Source organism: Homo sapiens, chromosome 7, assembly GCF_000001405.40.
Source record: "Homo sapiens chromosome 7, GRCh38.p14 Primary Assembly".
NCBI lineage: Eukaryota > Metazoa > Chordata > Mammalia > Primates > Hominidae > Homo > Homo sapiens.
The window spans coordinates 70,370,544-70,397,354 of record NC_000007.14 but is presented as its reverse complement, the minus strand read 5'-3'; the positions used below and the strand labels follow the sequence as shown (position 1 = coordinate 70,397,354).

Below are 26,811 nucleotides of genomic sequence, written 5' to 3'. Positions count from 1 at the left end.
GGTGGCTCATGCCTGTAATCCCAGCACTTTGGGAGGCCGAGGCAGGTGGATCACCTGAGGTCAGGAGTTCGAGACCAGTCTGGCTAACATGGTGAAACCCTGTTTCTACTAAAAATACAAAAAATTAGCCAGACATGGTGGCACACCTCTGTAATCCCAGCTACTCGGGAGGCTGAGGCAGAAGAATCGCTTGAACCTGGGAGGTGAAGGTTGCAGTGAGCCGAGATCGTGCCATTGAGCTCCAGCTTGGGCAACAATAGCAAAATTCCATCTCAAAAAAAAAAAAATAATAAAAGAATGGCTAAAATGAAAAGACATACAAAGTGTTGGTGAAGATGTGAGGAGGTGGAACTCTTATACACGGTTGGTGGAAATGTAAGACGGTACAACCACTCTGGAAAACAGTTTGACATTTTTGTAAAACATTAAACATATACCTACCAGTTCCAGCCATTCTACTCCTAGATACTTCCTTAAGATTCAAATACATATATGTCCATACAAAGACTTGTATGTGAATGTTCACAGCAGCTTTATTTGTAATAACCAAAAATTGTAAACAACCCAGACGTCCATCAGTAGGTGAAAAGGTAAATAATTATGGTATATCCATACACTACTCAGCGAAAGAAAGAAATGGCCTCAATGCATGCAGCCATATAGATGAATCTCAAAATAGGCCAGGTGCAGTGGCTCACACCTGTAGTCCCAACACTTTGGGCATCTGAGGTGGGTGGATCACTTGAAGTCAGGAATTCGAGAACAGCCTGGCCAACATGGCAAAACCCCATCTCTACTAAAGATACAAACATTAGCCGGGTGTGGTGGTATACACCTGTAATCCCAGCTACTCTGAAGACTGAGGCAGGGGGATGGCTTGAACCCGGGAGGTAGAGGTTGCAGTGAGCTGAGATCGTGCCACTGTACTCCAGCCTGGGTGACAGAAAGAGACTTTGTTTCCAAAAAAAAAAAAAAATCTCAAAATAATTATACAGAATGTGAGAGCACAAAAAAGTATACACGCTATAAGATTACAGTTATATAATACTCTAAACATGAATAGTAATCCATAGTGACAGAAGGTATATCAGGTAGCTTAGCAGTTGTTTTTTTGTATATGTGGCAGGGGCTGGGTGAATGGGCAGGAGGAAGGGACCACAAAGGAGATGGGGACCTGTGGAGTAATGAATGAAGATGCTCATTATCTTGACTGTGGTGATGGTGTCATGAGTGGGTACTTTGATCAAAACTTATTAAATTGTACACTTTAAATATACATAGCTTATCATATGTCAATTACACCACAATAAAGCTGCTTTTAAAAATTAAGTGTAGATAGCATATTTTCTTCTTTATGACTTTTTCCTTTAACTTTCTCAATTAACTACATACTTCATGGGTTAAGAGTGTTTTTCTGTATGTGTAAAACAAACAGGCTTGACGGTAAACAGCAATTATCATTCAGAGCTAAAACATATCTTGGAATTACCTAACATGATGTTCAGATAGAAAAGCTGAGGTTGAATAGAGTTAAGTGCAGTTCCCAGATCTGTACAGCTAGTTAAAGAGTTGGGAACACATTCCCAACTCTTCTGACTCTCGTAGGCTCCTTGAACCTGTAATCCATGTTTATCTTCAAAGTCACTAAGCACTGATAATTCTGGAAACAATCCTCAGTGAAGCAAAGCTGTCAACTAACTTTCAACCTATGTTAAGCACATGGCAGCTAACTGAGATCACTTGTGAAAAGATCATCCAGTAGACCAGGGGACCAAATCTTTGCATACTCAGCTCAATCACATACTCTGGTCCACAAATACAAAATTCATTTATTTCCTTCCTTTATCAGTTGGATGAGCTATTAATGATAATGATTCTGATTAAATATCACAATGGGCAAAAAGACGCTGATAATTAGGAAAGAATAGAGCATAGGCTTTGAAGACAAACACATTTGGGTTCAAGTCTAAGTTTTTTTTCACTTAAGATGTGGCAAGTTTGAGCCAGGATAACCTCTCTGAAACTTGGTGAGAGGCGATCCTCTCACCTTGTCCTCCCAAAGCATTGGGATTACAGGTGTGAGCCACAACACCTGGCTAATAGTAGCTTTTATGATTAGGGGAACACTATGGTTCTAGAATAGTGATTATCAATCCAGTGATTATCACAACTCCTTTGTCACCTTAGGCTATAACAGAACTGTCCCCCACTCTCTCTCAGTCCTTGCCCCACCTTCCCCACCACAGTGGTCAATCTCCTCTATGCCACTAAGAATCATTTTACAGAGAAATCTCATTTTACAGAGAAAAAATGAGATAACAGTATCTTCTTATAGGGTAATGAGAATGATTAAATGAAAGCATATAGTTCAATGCCAGAAATATAGTATGTGTTCACTTACTAGTGGCTTTTAAACATTTATTTATTTATTTACATTTTTTAAGAGACAGGGTCTTGTTATATTGTCCAGGTTGGTCTCAAACTCCTGGCTGCAGGCGATCCTCTCACTTTGGCCTCCCAAAGCATTGGGATTACAGGCGTGAGCCACAACACGTGGCTAATAGTAGCTTTTATGATTAGGGGAACACTATGGTTCTAGAATAGTGATTATCAATCCAGTGATTATCACAACTCCTTTATCACCTTGGGCTATAACAGAACTGTCCCCCACTCTCTCTCAGTCCTTGCCCCACCTTCCCCACCACAGTGGTCAATCTCCTCTGTGCCACTGAGAATCATCATTTAATAGGCCACATATGTTGGTAGCAATGCGTCTTATCCCTTAGAACTTCAGAACAAAGATTATTTTCAACTCATCTCATGTTTGCTGATATCTAGCCTTTCCAAGGATAAGCATTGGGCATTTAGGACTATGGTTGGCAAAGTTCAAATGAGTGACTGAGAGATACCGTATCAGGCCCAGGCAATCCAGTTAATCTTTGAATAGCCTGGGCTTTCAAGGCAGAATCTTTGCATTCAAGTCTTAGCTCCACTATGGTGCATAACCTGTCAAGCATCAGTGTTCTCATCTGTAAAATGGGGACTACTTCAAAAAGTTGTTGTAAGAATGACATGAGACCATGGCACTCAGGAAACTCAAGATAAGTTTTGGCAGTTATTATGAACACTGACTACTCATCTGTAGGGGAAAAAAAAGTACCAAAGAGGCTTGGCCTGATTTTTCATTACTAATTGATAGCATATGAACACAAATACACATAACACATGCATCTATGACTGTGTAAGGTGAATTCCCAAGGGAATAGAAAATAGCCAGCCTTCCAAAACAACTGGTAAAACCTTCAGGGAGACAGCTACCAGGCAATAACAACCAGCAGTTTTAAAAGAGGTAGCTGTAGAAGCCAAAGTGAATAGAGCAGGTTCCCAACCCTTGCTTTTTCTTTGCCGAAAAGATGTCAAGGTGAAAGAAGAAAATGCTTCATGCTGCTGCTTGCCATGAGGTGTCATTGGCTCACTCTCTGTTTTTGATAAAAGACAGCCTGAGTGCAAGGAAACTGGGGGAAAGTGAAGAAGAAAAGAGACAAATTGGATGCTCAACAAGCTGGCTTTCAAAGAAGACAGGTATTAAAGGTTGAAAGGGGGGTGGTGGGCTTCGTGTTACAGAAACCAAATTATTTCAAAAGCAGAACATATCAGCTGCATGCTTTGGCATGGGTGGCTGGCTAAGAGCAAGGAAGCCCAATAACATCACATAGAGCCCCTATAATCAGTATGTGCTATCGTCTTCGCAAGGACAGAGGACCAGATCAATGAACAGGTGCTTGTGAGACACAGACTACCCAGGATAATGAGGAACCACAGAGAGGCATCCACACAGGCTCTCTCTTTGGTTCAGAAAAATCCCTCACAAGCCAGGCAATTTTCTGCGACCCCAGTAAGATCCAGTGAAATACTGTGTCCAGGACAAACTAGACCATGGGGCAGATGAGCAGGAAGGGCAGGACTCAAAAGCGGGCACTCTGGCAAGCGCTGCTGGTTAGTAAAACACCAATTCCTCTCTTCCCAGCCAGCACACATGCGCTGGGAATCTCCTGAAAACAAGTTCCCATAGAAGACATATGGTGCTTACTTGCTAAGAAAGAGTGCTAACAAGACAAACTGAGAAGGAACAAGGGAAAAGCTGATTGAGTTTTTCAGTCTCCCGAGGAGGTGAGATACAGGCTGGAGGACATGAATGGGGCTGCTGTGCAAATGCACACCCCAGACAGAGGAGCCCCTCTGAGCATTCCTCTTTGGCCCGCTCCCCTACAGGCAGACCAGCAAAATCAATACTACCCTTCCTGTCGGGAGCAGTCGGTTGCCTGTGGCAACTGGTGGCTCTCTGCAAGGCAGTAAGAGCTGAGCTTCCAGCCAGAGGATGCATGTCCTTGGGGGTAAGAAATGGCCCCAGTAGAAAACCTCTCTAAGTTTAACTCCTTGAAAAACACATCATCATCTAGGAATAGGGTCCCTTTCTAATCCCACTAGAAAACAGGAAGCTGAAAACCTCACTGTACTCAGTTTGTTTAGAGGGTTGAATGGTGTCTAAAGATTTCTGGAAAACGGTGGTTCACCAAACAGTGGAATGTCAAAGCAAGAGCGGTACCAATGGCAAACTGAATCTTATCTTAAGGACCTGCTATAGTTAGCAAGCGGAGGCAGGCTGAGTATGCATCAGTTGGTTTTCAAAATATGTTATTTACAATACGCAGCAGATGTTCTTTGAATTCTAATGTGAAAATACAGGCTTTTTATTTTTTACTGACAGACTAAAAAGTACACTTAATATAATAATCTTGCAAAGTCCAAAGATTACCTCACAGTTTGGAAAATACTATGTTGAGTCATTAGTCCCATTACTCAGTATTTTCAAAACTCACCAGATAAATATGGTACACTGAGACTTCCTGGTAACGACCTTCTATTTTTTGCAAGGAAGAACACAGCAAGGCTTCCCAGAAGCCTCAATTAAATCTGGAAAATGTTTCTAAAATATTCTGAAGCACAACACATGCACACATGCTGAAATGTTTCAGGAGGTCCTTGCTCATCATGGATGAGTTTCTGCTGTCATTCATTCCTTAGAAAAAACTGAGTCTCTCCAATGGGCTAGGAAGTACACTAGGCAAAGGGAATATAAAGATAGGCAAGAAACCATTCTTGCCCTCAAGAAGCCTTCTGTCTAGGGCGAGGAACAGTCATACAAAGAAGCCATTGCAAAGCTATGAGAATAAGCTTTTTAACATGGTTAGCATAGCATACTATGAGTTATCTAACCCGTTTTGAAGGTGGTCAGGCAATCAAATCATGGGCCAGTGAGAATTTCCCGGGGGAAACTTCACTGGAGAAGTCAGGAAGCACTCTGTGGGGGCTGGTGTGACTAGGATCCATTGGTGAGCCATGCAGGAGCAGGTCAGGGAAGCAGCAGGGGTGGCTAGGGAAGCTCTGAATGGCAGCAAAATAAATACTGGAAAAGAACTCAAGCTCTGGGGTCCAACAAACTCCCCTGTGCTTCCCAACACAGGCGATTTGCTTTTGCCATTTCTTCCCTCAGAAAAAAACAGAGAGAATGCAAGTTTGCTGTGAAGATTCAGTGAGAACAAATGAAAATGTATGCCACGTAGTAGGTGTCAAATATGTCTTAATTTGCTGCTTTTTATTTTTTTATTTTTATTGTTATTATTTTTTAGCATTCTTAACACTCTGCCAGGCAAATGTTTCCCCGACTCCTCATCTCACCTGGAAGAGTAAGTTATAGTTGGGGTTGATAACAGTTTTACAGATTATTCAACAGATACTCCGTGATTGTGATTCTGCAAATTATTCAATAAATACTCTCTTATTGTGAGGGCCTGAACTCCACAACGGGTTGTGCTTACACAAAACAGTTCAATGTAGGGGACTTCTGCGGTGAGTTTTGTTGTATTTTATTTGCATATTCATTAATTCAACATTCAAATACCTTGAAATATTCATTCAAATAACCAACATGTTCTGAGCATCTAAAACACAGAGTGAGGCACTGTGTTGGTTTCTGGGCACAAAGAAATGGCCTCAATATTCTCACCACATGATATGGGAAAGAGACAAGCCAACAAAACACAAACAAAACATATTTGCTGAGGACAGTGACAGGGGACTCTTTCTAAATCAGTGCTTGCTTCTCAGCCTTGGCTGCAAATGTGAATTACTGAGGCGCTGTAAGAAGGTACTGATACCAGGGCCTCACCCCCAGAGATTCAGATACAACAGGACTGGATGGTGGCCTGTACGTGTGGGATTTAAAAGCTCTGCAGGGGATTCCAATGTGCAGACAAGGCTGAGAAAACTGTCTAGGGCATTCAGTTCCTTCACAGGTTATCAGGATATGGTTTTACAGTTATCAGCACAGATTCGGTCATTCTCAAACTTTGGAGTGTATCAGAATCACCCCAAGGCCCAGGCTCCTTGAAGTAGGAAAGAGCTTGGGCCTTTGTGTATTTACCTAATGTCCCAGGTTAATTCTGAATCACAGGAAAGTTTGAGGACCACTGCTCTAACACGGCCTGGCTATATCATATAGAACATGAATAAAGCAGAGTATCTGACTTTTTCAGAGCCAGGTCACAGAATGGGGGAACTACCTAACTCTTCCCATCTTCGCTGGCCCCTTCTTAGCATAGCAGTTGAGTGCCGGCCATTCTCTGCTTGGACTTGACAGAATGAATGCATCTTAAAACTTCTTCCATTTGTTTTCCTTCAACTCTCCTCATGCCTGTAATTATAACATTTCAAGTCCCTCTAGAGCCCTGAGTGCTGAGTGTTCTTTTGCACACCCTCAGGTTTTATTCTCAAAGTAACACTAGTTCACATAGTGCAGGAGTCACTACTCTTGAGGCCCAGGGACTTGGCCACAGATCCATCATTGGTAGATGACTCAGGACTAAAACCAAGGTTTCCTGATTTCTAAATTCTTTTCATTATGTTAGTGTTCCTCAGAGTGTTGTCCTTGTACAGGCAGCATTAGCACCATCACCTTTCTAAAAAGACACATTCCCGGGCCTCAACCCACATCTACTGAATCAGAAAATCTTGGCATGAGGCCTTGCATGTGTTTGAATAAGCCCACCAGAGGATTCGGATGCATGTCAAAGTCTGAGAACCACTGCATTTTATCATACAAAGCTATTGGTACTTCTATCAATGCGTAATTCAAGGAAATATTCTCTTCTTCGGTGCATTGGTGAGTTCCAGGTACACTGGAAGGTAAGGGGGAAATGTGTGAGCTGTTGTGAACTCTTGAATGAATCCACAAAACAATAAGAAAGCACATATCCTCTCTTACTCCTGACTCTTCTGAGAAAGATAAGGTGGCTACGGTGAAGATGAAGCACCATCTAAAATATGCATGTCTGTGTCTGCATTCTCCCAGATAGGCTTTAGAAAAATTCTCTTCATTTGCAGGCAGTGAAGACTTGATGAATAATTCTAGTCTTTCAACATTGCACCCGTAATTTTTTTTGCACTGAAAAGTTCCTGTGAAATAGAAAATGAAGTCTTTCACTGGTACCAGCCAAATCTACAAAGTGGCTCCTTTATGATGAATTCATGAAAAATTTAACGTTATGAGAGGAGAGGAGGGTATTTACAGTATCTGAGCTTAGCAAAGTGGAACAGGGAGCCAAAGTATGATTTCTTTTTGGCTCCCAAGGCACATGGCACATAAAATGTTTCTATAAAGAAAAAAAAAAGGCAGATTTGGTTCTGAGTTCAGTGAAATATCATAATTTCCATTTGGCTGTTTGGAGGCAGTTGCCTTTTTAGGCAACTCCCCATTTCAAGGAAAAGTTTGGAGCTCATTAGAGTCACCCACCTCCTTCCAACAGAATGAGAGAGTGGCATTCTGAGAGAACACTAGGCTTGCCTACCATGGCCATAATACCAGACAGGTTTCTGGAGTTGCCAGATTGGGCCGGCTACATGTGATGATGGCACCTGTGAGATTTTCTGAAAACTTCGTGTTTTTTTTCCCCATTGGGCTGGCAGCTCTAGGCACTGAAGGATTGGGTGGAAATACATTCTTTTAGATTCCCACCTGTAGGTGGTCCAATATCAGTTGCAAGGAGTAGGTAGGATAAGGTGGAGTGGCCATCTCATAAAAAATCTAGGACCTGGACCACACTGTGGCTAAATTTGCTTAAGGTTGAGTTCTAAAAAAAAGACAGAAATCAAAACTTAGATTATGCAGGGTAGTAACACAGTGCTGACCTAAAAAGAAAGTCAAAATTGCAAAATTAGAAGGGAGCTTGGTTAACCTATACTTTTTGGGAGGCTCTTTCCAACAAACTGTCCTCTACCTGGTTGGCCAGCTTGCTCTCCCTGAGCTCCTCTTGAACAACAGAGGCAGCCAATATCATCTTGAAGTGGATCTGATAGTTAAACTATTTATCTCCTCATTGAGTTTGAATTCACTTGTGTTTGTTCTAGTCCTCTGAGGAAATAAAGAATAAAAAAAAAGATTTAATTTTCTTTGACATGATAGTTCTTCAAATATTTAAAGACAGCCAACAGGTCCCCTTGTCCAGGTCTGCCCCTAATCAATAACCTGACGTTAGTTAATTAAGTCATTAAAACTGCCCAGAATACACTTTCCTCATTATGAAATGGATATTAGGATAACTATCTCTTTCTAACCTAAAATAAGTATAGAGAGGGTCAGATAAGATGTGAAAGTATCTTATAATGGTATAAAATATTATGCAAATGCAAAGGCATTACAATATGAAGATGATGGCAGGTTTGCTACAATTCTCTCAAGCTTCTTTCACCTCAGCCTTGTACCTAGATTGACTGAAAATAATAATAGTGTGGAAACTACTGAGAACTCTCTTGACACTGACATAAAGCCTGTCATCTACAAGTTTAGTTTTTTACATCTTCTATATTTTATAGAAGTTAAAAAATTCATTCACTGAAGAAACATTTATTCAGGATATACTATATTTAAGATACTTTATCAGCAGTCACAGGAGTTATAACAATGAAAATCCAAGGCGGGACTGGATAAGACAAGCACATAAATAATGGAAATACAAGACAAAGTGCTAAATGTCCTTTCCTACCCTCCACACCCCCGCCACCTCATACAATTTTGGAAAATCAAAGGAGAGAGAAATACTGTTCTAAGATTTCATGGAAGAGAAAGAATTTGAAGGATGAGAGGATTTCAACACATAGAATCATGTTGGCAGAAATAAAGGACATCATTTTAGATAAAAGAATACAGGACAAGAAAGGTCCTGTAAATGAGAAATTGTGGAGGTGAAAGAATGATCAGTGCTTTGCTTAGGACAGAACATACAGAATATGAAGGAATGGAAAATAATATAGAAGGCCTTGTAATTTAGGATAAGGCGTTTAGGATGTATTCAGTAGGCTTAGAAGAATTTGAAAGATTGCTGCCTAGGGATATGACATATGTGTTGAAGGAGGACTGCTATCTGGCCGTAACGTAGAAGATGGAATGAGCAGAGATCGAATGGTCTGGTGATAGTCCAAATGAGAGCCAATGAAAGCCTGGACCTGGGCAATGACATTGAGAAGTAGAGACGATGGATGAAGAAATACAGCTTCAATAGAATAAAAAAGCTATTATATACATGATGGCTTGTCATCTTGGCAACCAAGGAGGTGATAGAGACAGAAAGAAAAAAGTCAAATTTGCAACCTTGGGTCACATTATGGCCAACATTAGGAAAGACGGAAAGCCTGTCAGGGTTTGAGTTCTGTTTTGAGCAATGAGTCTAAAGAGCTGGCAGGACATCCAAGTGGTGAAGATAGTTTTGGAAGTTATCCACATAGTTAGGAGCCAGATGGTGTTATGAGGCTGGAAAGGGAGAAAATAGACAGATAAAAGAGTGGGCACCCATATTTGGGAAGGCACTAAACACTGGAGCCAAAAGTAGCCGGATAATGTGGAGTGCCAGAGAAGCCAAAGGAAAAAGAGTGCTTCACGATGGAGGAATAGTCAACTGAGCTCCAGGTTACCTAGAGGTCTCAGGGAATGGGGTCAGGGAAGGGTACTGGGCTTGATGCCATGAACTACAAGGAGAGACATTTCTGTAAAGTAACGGGAGCAGAGTCATGGCTGCAAGAAGTGAAGTGGGAGTGAGTGGAAAAGAAGCACCAACAGAGAGAGCAAACTGTGCTTTCAAAAGGTTTGGCAGTGAAGAGAATGAGAAAAAGAGAATGGTAGCTTGAGGAGGCAGCAGGATAGAGGTATTTTTTAAAAAGTGTGAACGTGGAGTATTACTGTAGGTTGAAGAAAGAAAATGAAGATGCAGTCCAAAGCCAGGTTCTAGAACAGGAGAAAGAGAATAAAAAAGAGGGCACAAATGAAGGCATCCACCTTAGAGAAAAGGGTGAACACTTGGTTATTTAAATAAGAAGAAATAGGAGGAAATATTGGGTAAATCTGGGAAGGGGCATAGGACTGTTCAGATCATTCATCCTACAGAAAAGTCGGGAGGTGACTTGATAATGATGTTTGAATTTATAAAGAATTTGAGTGTTGGTGAAATGATGAGAGAGAGGCAGAGAAGACAAGGGAATATGAGTTAATGTTATAGAAGGGTAATGTAGGTAAAAGTTAGAGATAAGTGAAGCCTTTCTGACTATAAAAGATGTAAGAACCAGCAACCCCCAATGGAATATTAGAAAAAAACATTTTTAGAGACACTTGCAGATATAACTGGACTTACGTTCAGTCACTTTAGGATATTTCAGAGATGAAATGTTCAGAATAGGCAAATCCACAGAGATAGTAGATTAGTGATTGCCAGGGTCTGGGTAGGAGGGAATGAGCCTGGGGATTCTTTTTAGTTGATGAAAATGTTCTAGAATTAGATAGTGGTGATGGTTGTACAATTTACTAAATGGCTGTCAATATACCAAAAATCAATAAATTGTATACTTTATGAGGATGAACTTCATAAGTGAATCGTATTTCAATAAATGTGTTTTTAAATAATATTTCAGAAGTAGAACTGATGATGGACATGGAGATGTGCTAAATGATATTTCCCTTCCATACCAAAAAGCGTCTTGGTTTTATGTCTTGCAAGGAGCTCTTAAGGCTCCTCAGAGCCTCTGTCTAAGACATCAGGCATTTTTAGACAGATGGCCCAGGGAAGACATATAGAGGGCACATGGCAGTGGAAAGACTGAGGGAACTACTGGGCTTCTCAGTATTGTATGCTTCTAATCAGTGCTTCCCAAACCAGAGTCCACAGACTGGCTGCATCTAAGCCACCTGAAAAGCATTTTCAAAGTATAATCCCAGGCTCCCGTATAGGCCTTATAACTAGAATATCTGGGGACAGAGGACCAACGTCTATGTTTCTATGAAACCTGGGCTGGCAAATCTCTGTGTTGTAAGTAACCATACTGTTGAGTAGAAACAAGAAAGTGGTGAAACTGGTGGAGTGGTAGCTGGGCCACTGCTGCGGTGTGATACAGCCCATATCTCTCATAATCACCATTCTGTGCCAGACTACCAGGAACACAACTTTTCTAAATATTGACTGCTACTGTTCACATCATAACAGTCTTCTCTTTGGTCCGGAAAATTTTATTTTATTTTCTATTTTTAGAGACAGTGTTGCCCAGGCTGGAGTGCAGTGGTGCCAGCATTGCTCACTGCAGCCTCCAACTCCTGGGCTCAAGCGATCTTCCCACCTTAGCCCCCAAAGTAGCTGGGACTGCAGGTGCACACCTGGCCCTCCTTGGTCCTTATACTTTATAAAGTCCTTGGTCTCATGAGACTATTTTCTAATTTGCTTTAAGGAAACTACTTCTGTTGTAGCAAGAGAAAAGTGCAGATGCTGTGTAGCATGCATATTGGGTTGTGTTGATACTTGTTTAATTGTGTGGCAGAATGAGAGTTAAATAATATATTATTGCCACCCAGTTGTAATTTAATTGGCAAGTCATACTGAAATACCCATGTTATGATTCTTAGAAATCAAGAAGATAAAAAAGTCAACAACTCCACAATGACCTCCTTGTGGCTTTTCTTTTTATGAATGAACATCTTCCTTTCTTCAGTCCTTCTGTGTCTCCCATGAAACTAGCACTTGGCTATGTACAAATAAAGTATGGTACTTGTCTTTAGGGAGAACAGTTTAGTGGATAAGCAGAAAGCAACAGATGATTATGTGCGGTGAGGTGCATCTTGTGAGAGTCTGCACAACAGGAATGCAGAACATGAGTCATGGAGCAAGTGTGTTGTAAGGAAACTGTATCATGACTCCAATGGATGGAAACTCGTGTAAACTAATCATTCACCTCCTCATCCTAGAAACGCAGGGAAAAAGTGTTTTTTGTGACCAGGGCTGTGCCAGACTTTACCCACTATATCTCCAAGGTGCTGGCACCACATGTCTGGCTTCTGTGTAGGGAAGCAGCCAGCAAGGCTAGTGATACCAAGCCCCTTCACACTCGGTTCAAGGACTTTATTAATATCTCATTCTCCTACTGGAGGCCAGTGGGGGATATGAAAGATAGCTTTGATCAGAACCCTCTGCTTTGAGGATTATCTGTCCACTACCCAACGCCAAACAAACTCTAGATCCCTTTCAAACTTGTAATAGTAGGCTGAAGAAAGAGGCTCTGACATTGTCTATCAACAATCCTAGGAGCTCCTTTTGCCAGCAGTCCAGAGCAACAAGGCACAAAGGAAAGCCCTCAAACCTGAGGGCTCTTTTCCCTGCACAGACAAGCTCTTGGCACCGTTGGCGCCGTGCACAGCAGCCTGGAGCTGAGCTGGAATGGCAGTCATCTTTGTGCAGCATGACAGGAGTGGTATTTTGCTGTAGGCCCAGCTTCTGTTAGGATGGCAGAAGGAGTGGCTTGTCATCCAGAATTACTTCTCAGATCCCAATTATATGTTTCAAAAATATCACCTATTAAGACCCAAACACGTTGTTTGCTGGTTGCAGCCCTTTGAACAGGTTACCATGGATTTATGCTGGCATAATGGGCCTGCATGATGTATGTTCCCTGTCAGTGCTGAAACAACAGTCAGTGCGTCTGAGTAGGCCCACCTGCCAAGCAATATGTTCTCAATCCCTCAGGCAGAGTGGTGCACTGCTCAGCTAAGAAAACGTCCCCCCACTGAGCAAATGGCAGAGCCATGGAACACGGGCAACCATGAGCACATGCGCACAGATCACAGGCACATGGCAGGAGGGGCGGTGGGGAGGGACAGTGAGGATGTTCCCGTCAAGCTTCACTTCCCAGTGACAAGCAAACAATCTCATGGTTTTTCTTTCTTTCTTTCTTTCTTTTCCCTAATGGACTAGCATAGGCTGCTAATCGCATTCATCATTAATGCAAGTGGCTGGAAGTTGGCTAGGGGATGACTTCTGAAGCCAAAAATGGGGAATGGATAGGAACAATGTACAGAATAATGCAGAAGTGGCTTGTCTCATGGTGGTTAGGTATTTTGTCAGAGTACAAAGGCATCGTCTAATGGAGATCCCACTTTGCAGAGAAAGGGAGGCAGCAAACAGTAAGTCTCCTAAGAGGCTGCAGTCTGTTTCATTGCGCTGGCTGATCTGAGAGCTCACCACCACCCTATTTTTGCTTGTCTTATGGAGATGTCCCTAGACAGAGAGGCAGGCTTTTCACCCTTACTGTGGAAAAAACAGACTTTTTTGTCAAGGACAGGCACTGGGATTTTTGGCTGGGAATGCTCTGGCTAATTAGTGATAGCATGAGGTCTGTGCTGCGAAGAATGCCTCAAAGATGCAGAACAGATTCTGCTTTTAGCTACTCATAAGATAGAAGCTATGATGAATGCACTGCTTTCTAAGTGAATAAGCTCTCTGCAGATTATGTAACAAGAAATAATGAATGGCTTTCTTACAGGCAATGGGGGCATAAGGCTGTTCAAAGCAGTAATAATTGTTTTTTTTAAAGGCTAAAATTTTACTATGGGACTTTAGGTCAATCCTCTCTAACCTGTTCTCAAGATCTCTAAACATTTTCCCAGGTCCCAAACCGCATGGAGTGATAAGTCACAAACAGTCCCTGTCAAGGACCATGACAGACTGCTCACTTGCATTTTACAAGACTGTGCTAAGCACATGGGCAGAACACATGCTAAGCACCTCCTCCTCTCATCTTCTACTGGGAGGAACACAAGCTAAAAAAAAAAATCAACAACAAAAAGCAAAAAATTATGGTAAAGCCAAATGATGAGATACCTTGCAGCCACTGCAAATTATAGCTTAGTTTTCTATTGATCAACATTAAAAGAGCATCAGAATATATCAACATGAAAAAAGGTAGAATTTGATCTCAGTTCTGGAAAAATATATAGACTTCATAAATTGTGTATACACACAAAGAAACATCTAGAGGGATGTTCAAAACCAGATATCTCTGGGTGATACAGCTTCAGGTGGTTTTTACTTTCATTACTCTTCTGTATACTTTTTTTCAATAAGGATGTGTCATTTTATGAAAATCCATCGTGTTGTTTTAATAAAAAAGGAAGAGAATGACCATAATGCAATGCAGTGAGTGATGACTACACTCAAATGAAGGAAAAATCATGCTGATCAGAATGAGAAAGGAGTCTTAGAAAAGACAGTGAGTGAGTTGTACACAGAGGATGATGATGAGTACGGAGTGGGGCAAAGCTGCATAATGAGTCCAGATAGAAACACAATGGGCAAAGGCAGAGTGGTAGAGAACTAGGGCCTGCCAAAGGAGCAGCCAAAAATCCACTTCAGCTGGAGTAGGTACAGGTACCTGTAGTGGAGAAGTCAGATTTGAAAGGGAGGGTGGCGCCATGCTTTCAATAGTCTTTACTGCCAGATAGAGGAATTTCCATTTAATTTGAAAGGCAGATGAAATCAAAGGAAAAGCAAGAGAGAGTGTGTGTGTGTGTTTGGGAAAAAGTTGGTATAGGAGGTGTGCTTTAGGAAAATTAGCCAGGCAGTGATGTGTAGGACACATCAGAGTTGGGGATTGTAGTAGAGAGATGAGTTAGAAAGCTACTGGACATTACAAAGAAGTGAGGAAACATGGAGATTCTGAACTGATCTAAGAAAAAGTCAATTTGGAAGAGTTTAGAGTTTTTCAAATTGGTTGACCTAGAGATTCAACAAGGACAGCCAATGACGATCTTCAGGCTGGGGGAAATAGGAGGAGATGATTTGGAGAGAAGAGGAGATTACAGACACGTTGAGCTTGAGACACTGTCGTGATATGCAAGGGAAGTTGTAGGGCAATGGTGTCTGGACTGCTGAGAATACTTGTTCCAGAAATCAGTATCTGGCTTCCAGGTACACAGACATTAGTAGAAAGTAAGCTCTGTGAGTGAAGACTTTTAGTCTTTCTGGTTTAACTGTGTATCACCCACCTATAAAACAGTGCTTGGTATACGGTATACACTCAAAAAGTGTTTACTGACTGAATAAAGAAATAACAACTTTGAAATTAAAGGATCAACGGGAGTGCAATATAAAAATAAAGGTAAAGAGAGCTGAAAACAGACCCTTGAGAATATTTAGCAGGTAGGAGCAGGAGGAAGTCAATGTGACAAAGGAGAAAGGAGAAGGAGCTTTAAGCTTATCGTTCTGCCATCTAGTCAAATTCTGACTCTGATTTTCTTTGGAAAATTTTCTAAAATTTTCTTAATGTCTGTTTTACCATATTTGTAACTGGAGGGTTAATGATCATAGAGGCTCCATTTAGGTCCACAATATTAAGAATCTTCAAATCCCTCATCATTGACTTAATTTTTATTATTAAAATTTTCTTACATTTGTGTCTAGGGCTAACGAATGATTTGCAAGTTTCCTGAATGCTGGGAAATTTTTCTCCCAAGGCTTGCTTAATGTTGTACTTTCTCATAAATTGTAGCTCCATAAATAAGTTGATTTGACTTTTTCCTTGAAGTATAGTTTGTACACAGGAAAACACACAGCTGTAAAGTGTACAGTTGGTTGAGTTTTGACAAATGTATGTACTGTGTTATCTACCTTCCAATCAAGATATAAGACATGTCCATGTTGGCTGGATTTTGATTTCTTCACTATTGCATTATTGGGAAGTCCACTTGGGCTATCATTATCCCTCTTCTTTATCTTGTGAATATCTCATTGGTGAAATAGCTATATAATCAGTAATTTTCAAATATATAATTCTAATGTTATTCTTAGTATTATTTCATCCTATTTCAGTGTTTTCCCCAGGTAATAGACTAATTCAACCAAAAGTGTTGGATGAGAGCAAATATTATTTATACGGTATCATTGCCAATATTTTTAACTTAAATGAAATCATGAATCTGACCATCTCCATAAGAGGTATTTATCCTATACTCTTCTATGTTAATGGATATCTGGCCATTTTAAGAGAAAACTACTTAATTCGTTTTTTAGCCAAAGATAAATGTGTTTGATAGCATATTTCTGAAAACAGGCTGTTCTATTTCAGGCTAGTTTTGAATATTTCTTTGGTTGGGTCATGAGACTGTGGCTTTTGAATTATTTGGAGCCAAACACCATTCAGCTGACTTTGGCTCCTCAGTGAGTAAGGGGAGCTCTGCTCCCTCCTGTTTTTAATCAGACACAATTTGATATTTACCCATTTCTGACACCTGGCTCTGAAAAAGCCCATGGTCGCCAGTTCAGACTAGGCGTTGTCCCTGGCCTTGATGGATCCTTTGGATTCGACAGTTTCTCCAAGTTCAAATTCTGTGGGGTCAGTTTGGCTCTGTTTTCCCCACCTTACAAGAAGCAGGCTTCCCAGTCATAAGCCCAGGCTGTGGACTGGGAGCCCTCCCCTGAGATCACAGCCACGGACGTGGTCCTGGCTCTGCCAGCGGAAAGGGGGACTGCTTTTGCGGTTACTGTCAGACGTCAATGCTGGAGGCTGGCTTCCAGGCAGTCTCCAGTACTCAATTTCTACCAAAATGAAATAAGAACCAACATATGCAGCTGAAATTACCAAAGTCTGCCCTTCTGATACTTAAACAATTCTACCTGCACTGAATTTTAAGCCCTTTTGGTCTCTATTTGAGCAAATATTCCAGTATTTGCACTAACTTTGTTTGATCCCAGAGCCACATTAATCAGAAAAGAGGAGAGAATGTCATTTGTGCCAAATACCTAAGTCCTTGCTCAAGTCAAATGTTACAATGAAAAAGTGAGTTTTATAGTACTGGATGCTGAAGAGCTCCAAGAAGACTGCAGCAAAGTCAATAAATCAAATAATCAATATATACTGATCAAACCACTTCAGACTCTTTGCTTAGTGTCAGTCATGTTTTGTACATGATGCATCCTCACCCTGGAGAATCTGGGTTTAAAAAGTTGACCTTGTTGTCTTCCTGACCATGATTTGCACCTGATCGAAATATTTTCTACTTCTAAGTCATTCCAACACAGCACAGTTATTTGCCTCTGGTACAGCAAATAAGCCAACCAAAAATTCTTAGCTCCTGTCTTTTGCTGAAGAAAACAATACCACATAAGACAATGGTAAAGGTGAAGTTCTTAGAACACTTCAAGTAAATGTCATAATAGACCAAGTCTGAAGATTAATAAATTCAGTCTCTTAGTGTAGGAATCCCCTTTACTTCCTTGTTGAGAGGATTTTCTAGCCTGTATTTGAATATTTCTGTTGACAGTTTACTAATTTTCAAGGCAGCCAGTCTACCAAGCTACAACTACATCTTTTATTCTGCACTGAAATGTGTCCTTCCAGAACCTACACACACAGAATGGCCTCAATTCTGTCCTCTGAAATGACACAAATTAAGTCTAATGATAGTTTTTCTTTCTTTCTTTTTTTTTTTTTGAGACGGATGCTCGCTCTGTCACCCAGGGTGGAGTGCAGTTGTGCAATCTCAGCTCACTGCAACCTCTGCTTCCCAGATTCAAGTGATTCTCCCACCTCAGCCTTCTGAGTCACTGGGATCACAGGTGCACACCACCACGCCCTGCTAATTTTTGTGTCTTTTAATAGAGAAGGGGTTTCACCATGTTGGCCAGGCCGGTCTCGAACTCCTAACTGCAAGTGATCCACCTGCCTCGGCTCCCCCAAAGTGCTGGGATTACAGACGTGAGCCACCGTGCCCGCCCTAATAATAGTTTTTCAACATGATAGCTCTTTAGCTATTTGGCATCTAAACCTAGCCTACGAGTTGTAGGATTTCAAAGATGGTTGAAGGCACAGTACCTATCCCAAAGTGACTACAGGTAGTAAAGGGCATTATATGATAACCTGGCTTATATCCAGCAACTTAAAAAAAAAGCCATGAAATTCATAACAGCAGTGCTAGTCTTAATAAGAATTGGAAGAGATACGAATAAAATGGCATATGAAACAATGTTCTAACAAATCACAAGGATAGGCTCCAGTAAGCTTCCATAATAATTAGACCACAGTTTAAAATTCTTAGATGGTTTCTGAATCATATACTTATAGCTTTTAACATCTGTCCATCACTAGGATTTACTGTTAATACTCTGCATATGTATAGCACTTTTAAAGCTTTCAAGTAATTTTACATGTTATTTTATGTAGTTTGATTTTGAAATTTAAAAGTGACATCATGCAATGGAAAATGATAAGCCTTCTGCTAACCATGCTGGGAATATAATGAGGAATATAGATGCAATCCACTTTTCTGAATGGCTTCATGGTATCTACAAACATGGTCTCTGAAGTAGAACCCTGTCTGCCACATACTAGCTGTGTGAACTTAAGCAAGTTTCTCAACCTCTCTAAGCCTTTATTTCCTTTTCTGTAGCACACAGATAACATATTCTGTGGGCCTTAAGTAAATTAATTCACATAAGAGCTAATCTCAGTGCCTGGTACATAGCATGAATACATGCTTGTTCTCATAGATCTTTTTGTGCATCATAGCTAATAACTGAATTCTTTATTATAAAATTTATTTTACTATAGGCAGATAACATAGGAAAGAACCGTAAGAATATTTAAAGTTCCACAGAGCTTAAAAGTTGTTACATTGGCAGATGCAAAAATATTTCAATAGCCACTTCTGAGTATGCATAAAAGAAATTAAAGCAGGACTTAGACATGTTCATAGCAGCATTATTCACAATAGAGAAAATGTGAAAGCAACCAAGTGTCCATTCATAAGTGAATAGATAAAATGTGGCATATCCATACAATGGAATATTATTCAGCCTTAAAAAGGAAGGCAATTCTGACACATGCTGCCAACATGGATGAACTTTAAAGACATTATGCTGGCCGGGCGCGGTGGCTCACGCCTGTAATACCAGCACTTTGGGAGGCTGAGATGGGCGGATCACAAGGTCAGGAGATCAAGACCATTGGCTAACACGGTGAAACCCCGTCTCTACTAAAAATACAAAAAAAAAAAAAATTAGCCAGCCGTGGTGGCGGGCGCTTGTAGTCCCAGCTACTTGGGAGGCTGAGGCAGGAGAATGGCATGAACCCGGGAGGCGGAGCTTGCAGTGAGCCGAGATTGCGCCACTGCACTCCAGCCTGGGCGACAAGTGAGACTCTGTCACAAAAAAAAAAAAAAAAGAAGACATTATCCTAAGCGAAATAAGCCAGACAAAAGGATAAATACTATTTGTTTCTACTTTTATGAGATACCTAGAGTAGTCAAATTCATAGAGGCAGACCGTAGAATGCTGGTTGGCAGGGTTGGGGAAGGAAGAATGGAGAGTTATTGTTTAATGAACATGGAGTTTCAGTTTGGGAAGACGAAAAATGTTCCGGAGATGAACAGTGGTGATGGCTGTACGACAATGCGAATGTATTTAATGCCATTAAACTATACATTTAAAAATTGTTAAAATGGTAAGCCATTTTATGGCTTTAAATAGTTTAAATATAAACTATTTAAATATATATAAATGGTTTACCATTTTAACCATTACAATATTTTATACAACATTTTTATTGCGATATATATATCACTATATATATATATATATATATATATATATATATATATATATATATATATTTATATTTGTTTGTTTGAGACCCAAACACCATTCAGCTGACTTTGGCTCCTCAGAGTTTGAGTATGAGGATCTCTGCAATGTTTTTATAGGACATTTTTTATTGTGGTTAATAAAAAAGTCCTATAAAAATATTGTGATGGTATTCCAAAAGACTTTAGGCTTCAAAGAAGCATGGGGCACATTCCCTGGACTACAGGTACTTAACATGCAATTAGGGAGTTAGAAAACACAGTAAAAAGACAAATAACAATCCAAAGTATTCTAATTGAGGCAAAAAGCAAATAAACAGGCATCAATGAAGCCACAATTTGCCAATGATATTATCCAGTTCGTGGACATTAGCCATAACTTACATAGGCCAGATGTCTTGGGTCAGATCATTGACAAAGACTGTGACCTGAGGTTTCATTCAACAACACGCAATAACAGAGCATGATTATTAAATGCAAAAAACCAAGAGGCTCCCAAAGACACTTAGTGACTGACAGCTTCATCTCCTGGGCTTTTTGTACTTCATCATGCAAACAAAGACAATGTGAAACTGTTACTATAATTAAGCACTTTCCTTATCCTCCCAGAGCAGAACTGCATTCGAGATAAAGGATAATAGCACTAAATGAACAGGTTAATTAGAGACAGCATTTACCCCTGCAGGCCTTCCACTGGAAACACCATTTCACACCATTACATCACACAGGAGAGCAGGGCTCCAGGGACTAGCTCCTGAGACGGCCAGTGACCAGAAGAGAACAAAGCAAGCAGCAGTAAGAGGGAAATCTTGCTGACCTAACTGATACTCATGCCCACCCAGGATATCCCCCCATGTTTCTCTAAGGCATGAGCTGGCCAACTACGGTGTGCCGGCCACATCTCACCCACAGTCCATTTTTATACAACCTGTAAATTAAAATGAGTTTTTGCATTTTTAAAGTGTTGTTTAAAAAAAAAGAGAAACAAAGAATATATGTCAGAGACCTGTGTGGTCAAAAAGGCTAAAATATGTGCTATCTGACCTTTTATAAAGAAATTTGCCAATCCAAAATGAAAATAGGAATTAAGCAATGTGTTTAATACCACAGAAAAGGCAGGTAAAGCGAACTGCAAGATGTTCACACGGAAACATTTTAAAACTCCAACCCTATCATCAATTATCATCCTATAAATAACTGGATACAGAGGTGTCCTTTTCATTTATCCCTTTCTTCAGTGAAAGTGTTCTCTCCCTTTGGCCATCTGGGAAGAAAGCAGCAGAGAAATCTGAGCAACTTGCTCATTCAAGCACTTCTTCTTCTTTTTTTTTTTTTTAACGACAAAAAACAAACTACTCCTCCGTTCTCACCTCCCACTTTCTAAAACCTGGCCATTATTTCAAGATTGAACATGTTCTTGTGAAAATATTATGATTTAAGGTGATGCCTACTATTATTCCACTGGTTTGGGGGTATTTAGGAATAAGTTTTAAAATGAGTTGCAAGTAGAAGCTTGGCAGAAAGACAGACTTAGGTAGGCACAAGTTATTGTATGTAATTGGAAAACAGCTGGTTTAGAATTTGCTAATTCATAGCAGTTCAGGAAATAAAGCAAATCTCACCAACCCCACCTTACACACTTGTATTCCAAATGTTGCTCAAAGCCCATTCAGAATCTGCCATTAATTCAGCCAATGTTTTTCTTCCCAGAATAATAAATACTTTCTTAAGCTAAAATGTGGAATCATTACAAATAAAAATATTGCTCTTGACTGACTGTAAGTGGATTACATATTTACTTTGCTTTATTAAAAGGCCCATGAGGGGAATGGCCATAACTTACACCTTCTCTTGCATTCCATACTACCTAGTTGGACGTAAAATTGGCAGTAAAAAAATAAATTCTTGTTGATGAAATAATGAATAGCCAATACAAAGAATGGAAACCAGTAAATGAGGCTGGTTCACCATTGCCAGGTACACACATTTTAATGTGGTTACTGGCAAAGTTGAAATTTCTTGGCTTCAGAGTGAGGCTCCAAAGTTCAATGACCTCCAATGGAATCTCAAAGCAAAGTCAATGGGGCTTCTAATAGCTCTGGTCTCTCATATCCAAGTGATTTTGAGATAGAAAAAAATCTCTATCATATATGCGTTGTTTCACAAGCATTTCAACATTTAACATATTGAATCAGTATGGTGTCTTTTGGATAAACCCTCCCTCTGAAAGTGTTAAGCTTGAAAAGGGCTTCTGACTACAAGCTCACCAACCAGAAACTGTGCGATCCTATCCTGGATTATCAAGGAAGAGCTGAACAAAGGTGCAGGGAGCATCGGGGCACTCCTAGGAGGAGCAGGTAATGGGCCTGAGTTGGAGCAGCTGTCCCAAGTGCTGCTGTGCTACTGCAGCCTTTCTACTGGGTCTATGGATGGCAGTTTCCCATCTGCAGAGTATGGCACTTGGTTTAGGGAGTTCTTGCCTCATCTACTTACGGTCTGTGTGCACGCACATGTCCAAACACACACACACTGACCTCAAAGCCAGGCTTTATATTAGGGTAAAACAGTGTCTTCAAGGGATGCAAGAAGATGAGGACTTAGTTACTGTAAGTGGAAAAGATCTCAAACTGACCAACCTTAAGGCCTTATATGTCTTTCACCTTTCTTCTGATATGTGAATATACTTTTTAGAAGGAAAATATGCCAGTTGAAAGGTTACTCATCTTGACCCCAATATAATCACTTCTCTTTTTACGTTGCAAAAAGCCAGTCCTGCCTAAACACTTATTTTCCTGCCCTTTGACTACATATCAAACTAAATGTTACTTACAAGCAATTGACTGCAAGTTTGTTTAACAGCAAGACATCCCTTTAATTAACTGCCCGCTTTTTTACTGGAGTTGACAGGCAATACATTTGTAGCATCTCAGCTGATTACATGAAGTCTTAAGTAGTTATATAGCAATTGGTAAAGAAAAAATAGCCTCCATTAATCCTAATAGATAGGTTTTGTGGTTAAGAAACCCCACAAGGCAAAAAATTCAATAATTTAAAAGAACCTCATGTTGAATGTTATCATCATTTTTCTTTTTAAATAGAATAAACTGTTAATTTCATTAATTTAAAATGTGCTTTATCCCTCTTTTCGAGACAAAATTCTTGAGACATTAATGATTTTTTCCCTCAGACTCACTCTGCTTCTTGTAGAAATTCTACTTCTCAGAGCTTTCCTAAAGAAATGATCAAGAATGTATACTGAAATTTGACCAAAAAATATATTTATAACTTGCCTGTCTAAAATGGATAAAAATTATAAACTAACACTGCATTTTAGTTGCAGGAGATAGGTTATATAAAGTATAGTTAATTCACACATACACACTACAATCATTAGAAATGACATTCCGTATAGACCATTCATGGGAATATGCTTGTGATGTAATGTTTAGTGAAAAAAAAAAGATGACTTCTAAACAGTATATACGATTCACTAAATTATGTTCACTAAATATGAACAGAAAAAAGACTAGAAGGATATAAACAAAAACCATACCAATTTTATTAGCAGGGGGAGGACTTACAGGTTATTTTTATTCTCCTCTTTGTACTCTAGACATTTTATATAATTTACTCATTTTGTAATGAGAAAAAAAGTATATTTTAGCAGATGAAGAGGATTGTCCCACAGGTGTTAATTAGATGATATTCTAGACTCAGAGTTGTCCAGCAAACCATGCCTAGAAGCAGTCACGTTCTTAGGATAACTGCCCACTGATGCCAGTTCCATCTTCTCTAGATTATTTTGAGAGCAGAAAACAGAAAGATAGTTTGGGAAAAATGCCTACCCCTGCATTTATAAACAAGCAAATTCTCAGTAGTAGGAGGAATGATTAAAACCAACCAAAAAAATAAATAAATAAAGAAACCTACCCTTGTTATCCAATATTCACATCGCAGAGGTTTTATATCCACACATTTTCAGAAACCAAGAGGGAGTCATAAACCCAATTCAATTTAATCGGGTGCTCTCTTGACAGAATTGTTATTAATAAGATCGTATTGTACAAACCTCCCTGAAATCCCAAATGCTGCTGCCTACACCAGCAGAAACATTTAACATCCAGCACAGCACATGCAGTTGTGTCTGCTCTTCTGTCCTGGCCCCTCCCACAGACCCTCTCATCCTTCTTCCCCCACTCCCCCCTGGTTTCTCACATAAAAAAAAAAAAAAGCTTGTCTTGAGCAACCTCCATAAATTATTCACGTGATATTGCAGTGTATGTCAGCAATCTCGCAGTGTTTAAAAAACTTAACTACAAGCCAATTAAAATGTAAACTGAGAAAGATGGATGGAGCTGGTTGCTCTGGTGTGAACTTGAGCAGCTCATAACAATATGCACTACAACTTCCAGACCTGCTAATTTGACAGCTACTTTCATCAGCAGACCCTCGCCCTTCCCCCATGACTTCTTCCTCTTCTTTTTAATGTAGTGCTTCTCCTAGGACAAATGGCTCCATATCCTCCCACATTCAGCAGATTAGTCCCCTGGGCCTTGCAACCAGCCCAAACTCTCAAAGTGGAAGTTATTAACAGGGTTGATTTTTTTTTCCTCTTTGTTTTTAAGGATGTGTTATATACCTCTCGTTTTCTTTCCAGGTTGCAGTTTAAAATACTTGTATTTTAAAAAAAAAAAAAAGAAAGAAAGGAAGTAAGAAGCAAGCAAAGATGAAGTGTACAATGAGAAATGGCCAGGAAATCTGACGGCTAGCCAGATGGAGAGGATGTGCTACCAGACAGGTCTTCCCCCTACTGTTTGTTTCCATTTCAATTTCTTCCATGATACTCTTTACATCAATGATCTATATGCCAGGCTTCCATTTACTCTAGATTAAACGAATGTGAGACTAAATACAACCAGTGCCTAGTTTGTTTTTGAGAGGAAGAGAAGGCCTGGATTACTGCACATCTTTTTAGCAGTTCCATTAAGACAAAAATACGGGTTCCCTAAAAAAGTACTAGGATATCTTCCTCTACAAAACTCAACTTGACCTTCCCTGCATTTTAAACCTTCTATAAGAAATCTCAATCTACAATGAAACCAAAGCCATCTCTGGCCAGGTTGGCATCAGAACATGTTGAATTACTGACATTTCTGCATTATCTACCTCTTCTTTCTGGAATATCAGTTTTCATTTTCTGAAACTGTGTAGCTCAAATTTTAAGTTGGGGACATAGGACCCCTCTAAAGAAGAGTCTGGACAATGGAAAATCATTCTTTTCAGCATTGGAAACTTGGTGCCAAACTAGCAGAAGAGTATTGCACTTTAGTTCCCATCCTTTCCAGTTTTGTGACTAGACCTAGAATTTTAACAGAAGACAAAAATGGCCCTCAATCCCTAAAGAGAAAAAACATACTTTAGTCCTAGAGAAATCACTGGCCATATGGTAATGAGACATCACCCTGATTGATCTATTTGCTGTCATCTGTACACATCAGGTCAATTACAAAGGTCAAGGTTTGCATAGAAATGGCACGTGTTCAAATCAACACAACCATAAAAAATGCTTGTATCTATGAGCCAACCACTAGGATATCTATCAGTGACTCATTACATCAATTTACTGTCTTATAATAGATAAACTAATCAATGAACTAATTCATTACCTTGAAAAGCATCACTGTATGTTGAACTCAAAGAGATTGAAATCATTGAAATAAACAAATGCCTCATGTGTAGCCAATATAAATGGGAAAAAAATGAAGGAACTCAACTCTGTGACAAAACTTTTAAATTCGGGGTTTAATTGGGGAGAAATAGTTAATTGATTTTATGAACCACACGCTAGGTTTTCCTCTATCATTAGTTGGAGAAGACTGCACACTGCAATTATGTCTTACATCTGTTTGATCAAATTCAGTTAGCAGGTGTCTCAGAAAAGCTTACAGGTCAAAATAAAGGCAGATGGTTATCTGATCAGTGCATGCAATCAATACATTCATTCTATTATTTAATCCTGCTGAATTATTTACAATGGTGTCTTTCAACCCTCACTGTGCATCAGAATCATGTGAGGAGATTTTAAAAACTACAGATACCTGGGCTATATCCCCAAACATTCTTATTCAGTTGGCCAAGGATAGGGCCTGAACGCTGGTATATTTAAAATTATTTTTCAGGTGAACCTAACTTCGTGTTGCCAAGGACTGAGAATGGTTAGAATGAGAATAGCAACCTCTGGTTATTCATTTCCATGGAACATGGCAACACCACGGACTGGGCATACTATAAAAGGCTGCGTCCAATTCCTTCTTAGCCTTTAACTGCTTGAAATCCTCCTATCCATATCAATCTCTTAATATTTATTTCTCAGTCTTCTGTCAAAGCCCTCAAACATGCTTTCACTTATGCCTTAGTTTTGAAAATACAACTTCTGATCATGGAAATGCAGACTAAAACCACAATGAGATACAACTTCACACCCACTAGAATAATGGCTATAATAAAAAAAAAAAGACAACAAGTGTTAGCAAGGATATGGAGAAACTAGAACACTCATACACTGCTGATGGAAATGTAAAATGCGGGCACTGTAGCAAATGGTCTGGCAATTACTCAAATGGTTAAATGATAGTGACTCTGCAGTTCCACTATAAGATGTGTATATGTCTAAGAGAAATGAAAACATATCCACAAAAAACTTACACATGAATGTTTGTAACAGCATTTTTCATCACAGCCAAAAAGTAGCAACAATCCCAATGTCTATCAATTAATGAATGGATAAACAAAATGTGGTGTATCAATGTAAT

At 39.8% G+C, this 26,811-nt stretch overlaps 1 protein-coding gene across 25 annotated transcripts in view, besides 1 other annotated feature; it reads right to left on the bottom strand.

Annotated features, from left to right (window-relative positions):
* Nucleotides 1-26,811, bottom strand: part of AUTS2 (activator of transcription and developmental regulator AUTS2) — a 1,195,032-nt gene that overhangs the window by 396,152 nt on the left and 772,069 nt on the right. The gene's annotated exons all lie outside the window — the stretch shown is intronic.
* Nucleotides 4,203-4,398: a silencer, noted in NCBI's record as "fragment chr7:69857943-69858138 (GRCh37/hg19 assembly coordinates)". NCBI's record gives its function as "represses an EF-1alpha promoter that drives an FKBP-Casp9 reporter gene in an ReSE screen in phorbol 12-myristate 13-acetate-treated (for megakaryocytic differentiation) K562 erythroleukemia cells {active_cell/tissue: K562(+PMA)}" and the evidence as "EXISTENCE:reporter gene assay evidence [ECO:0000049][PMID:32094911]".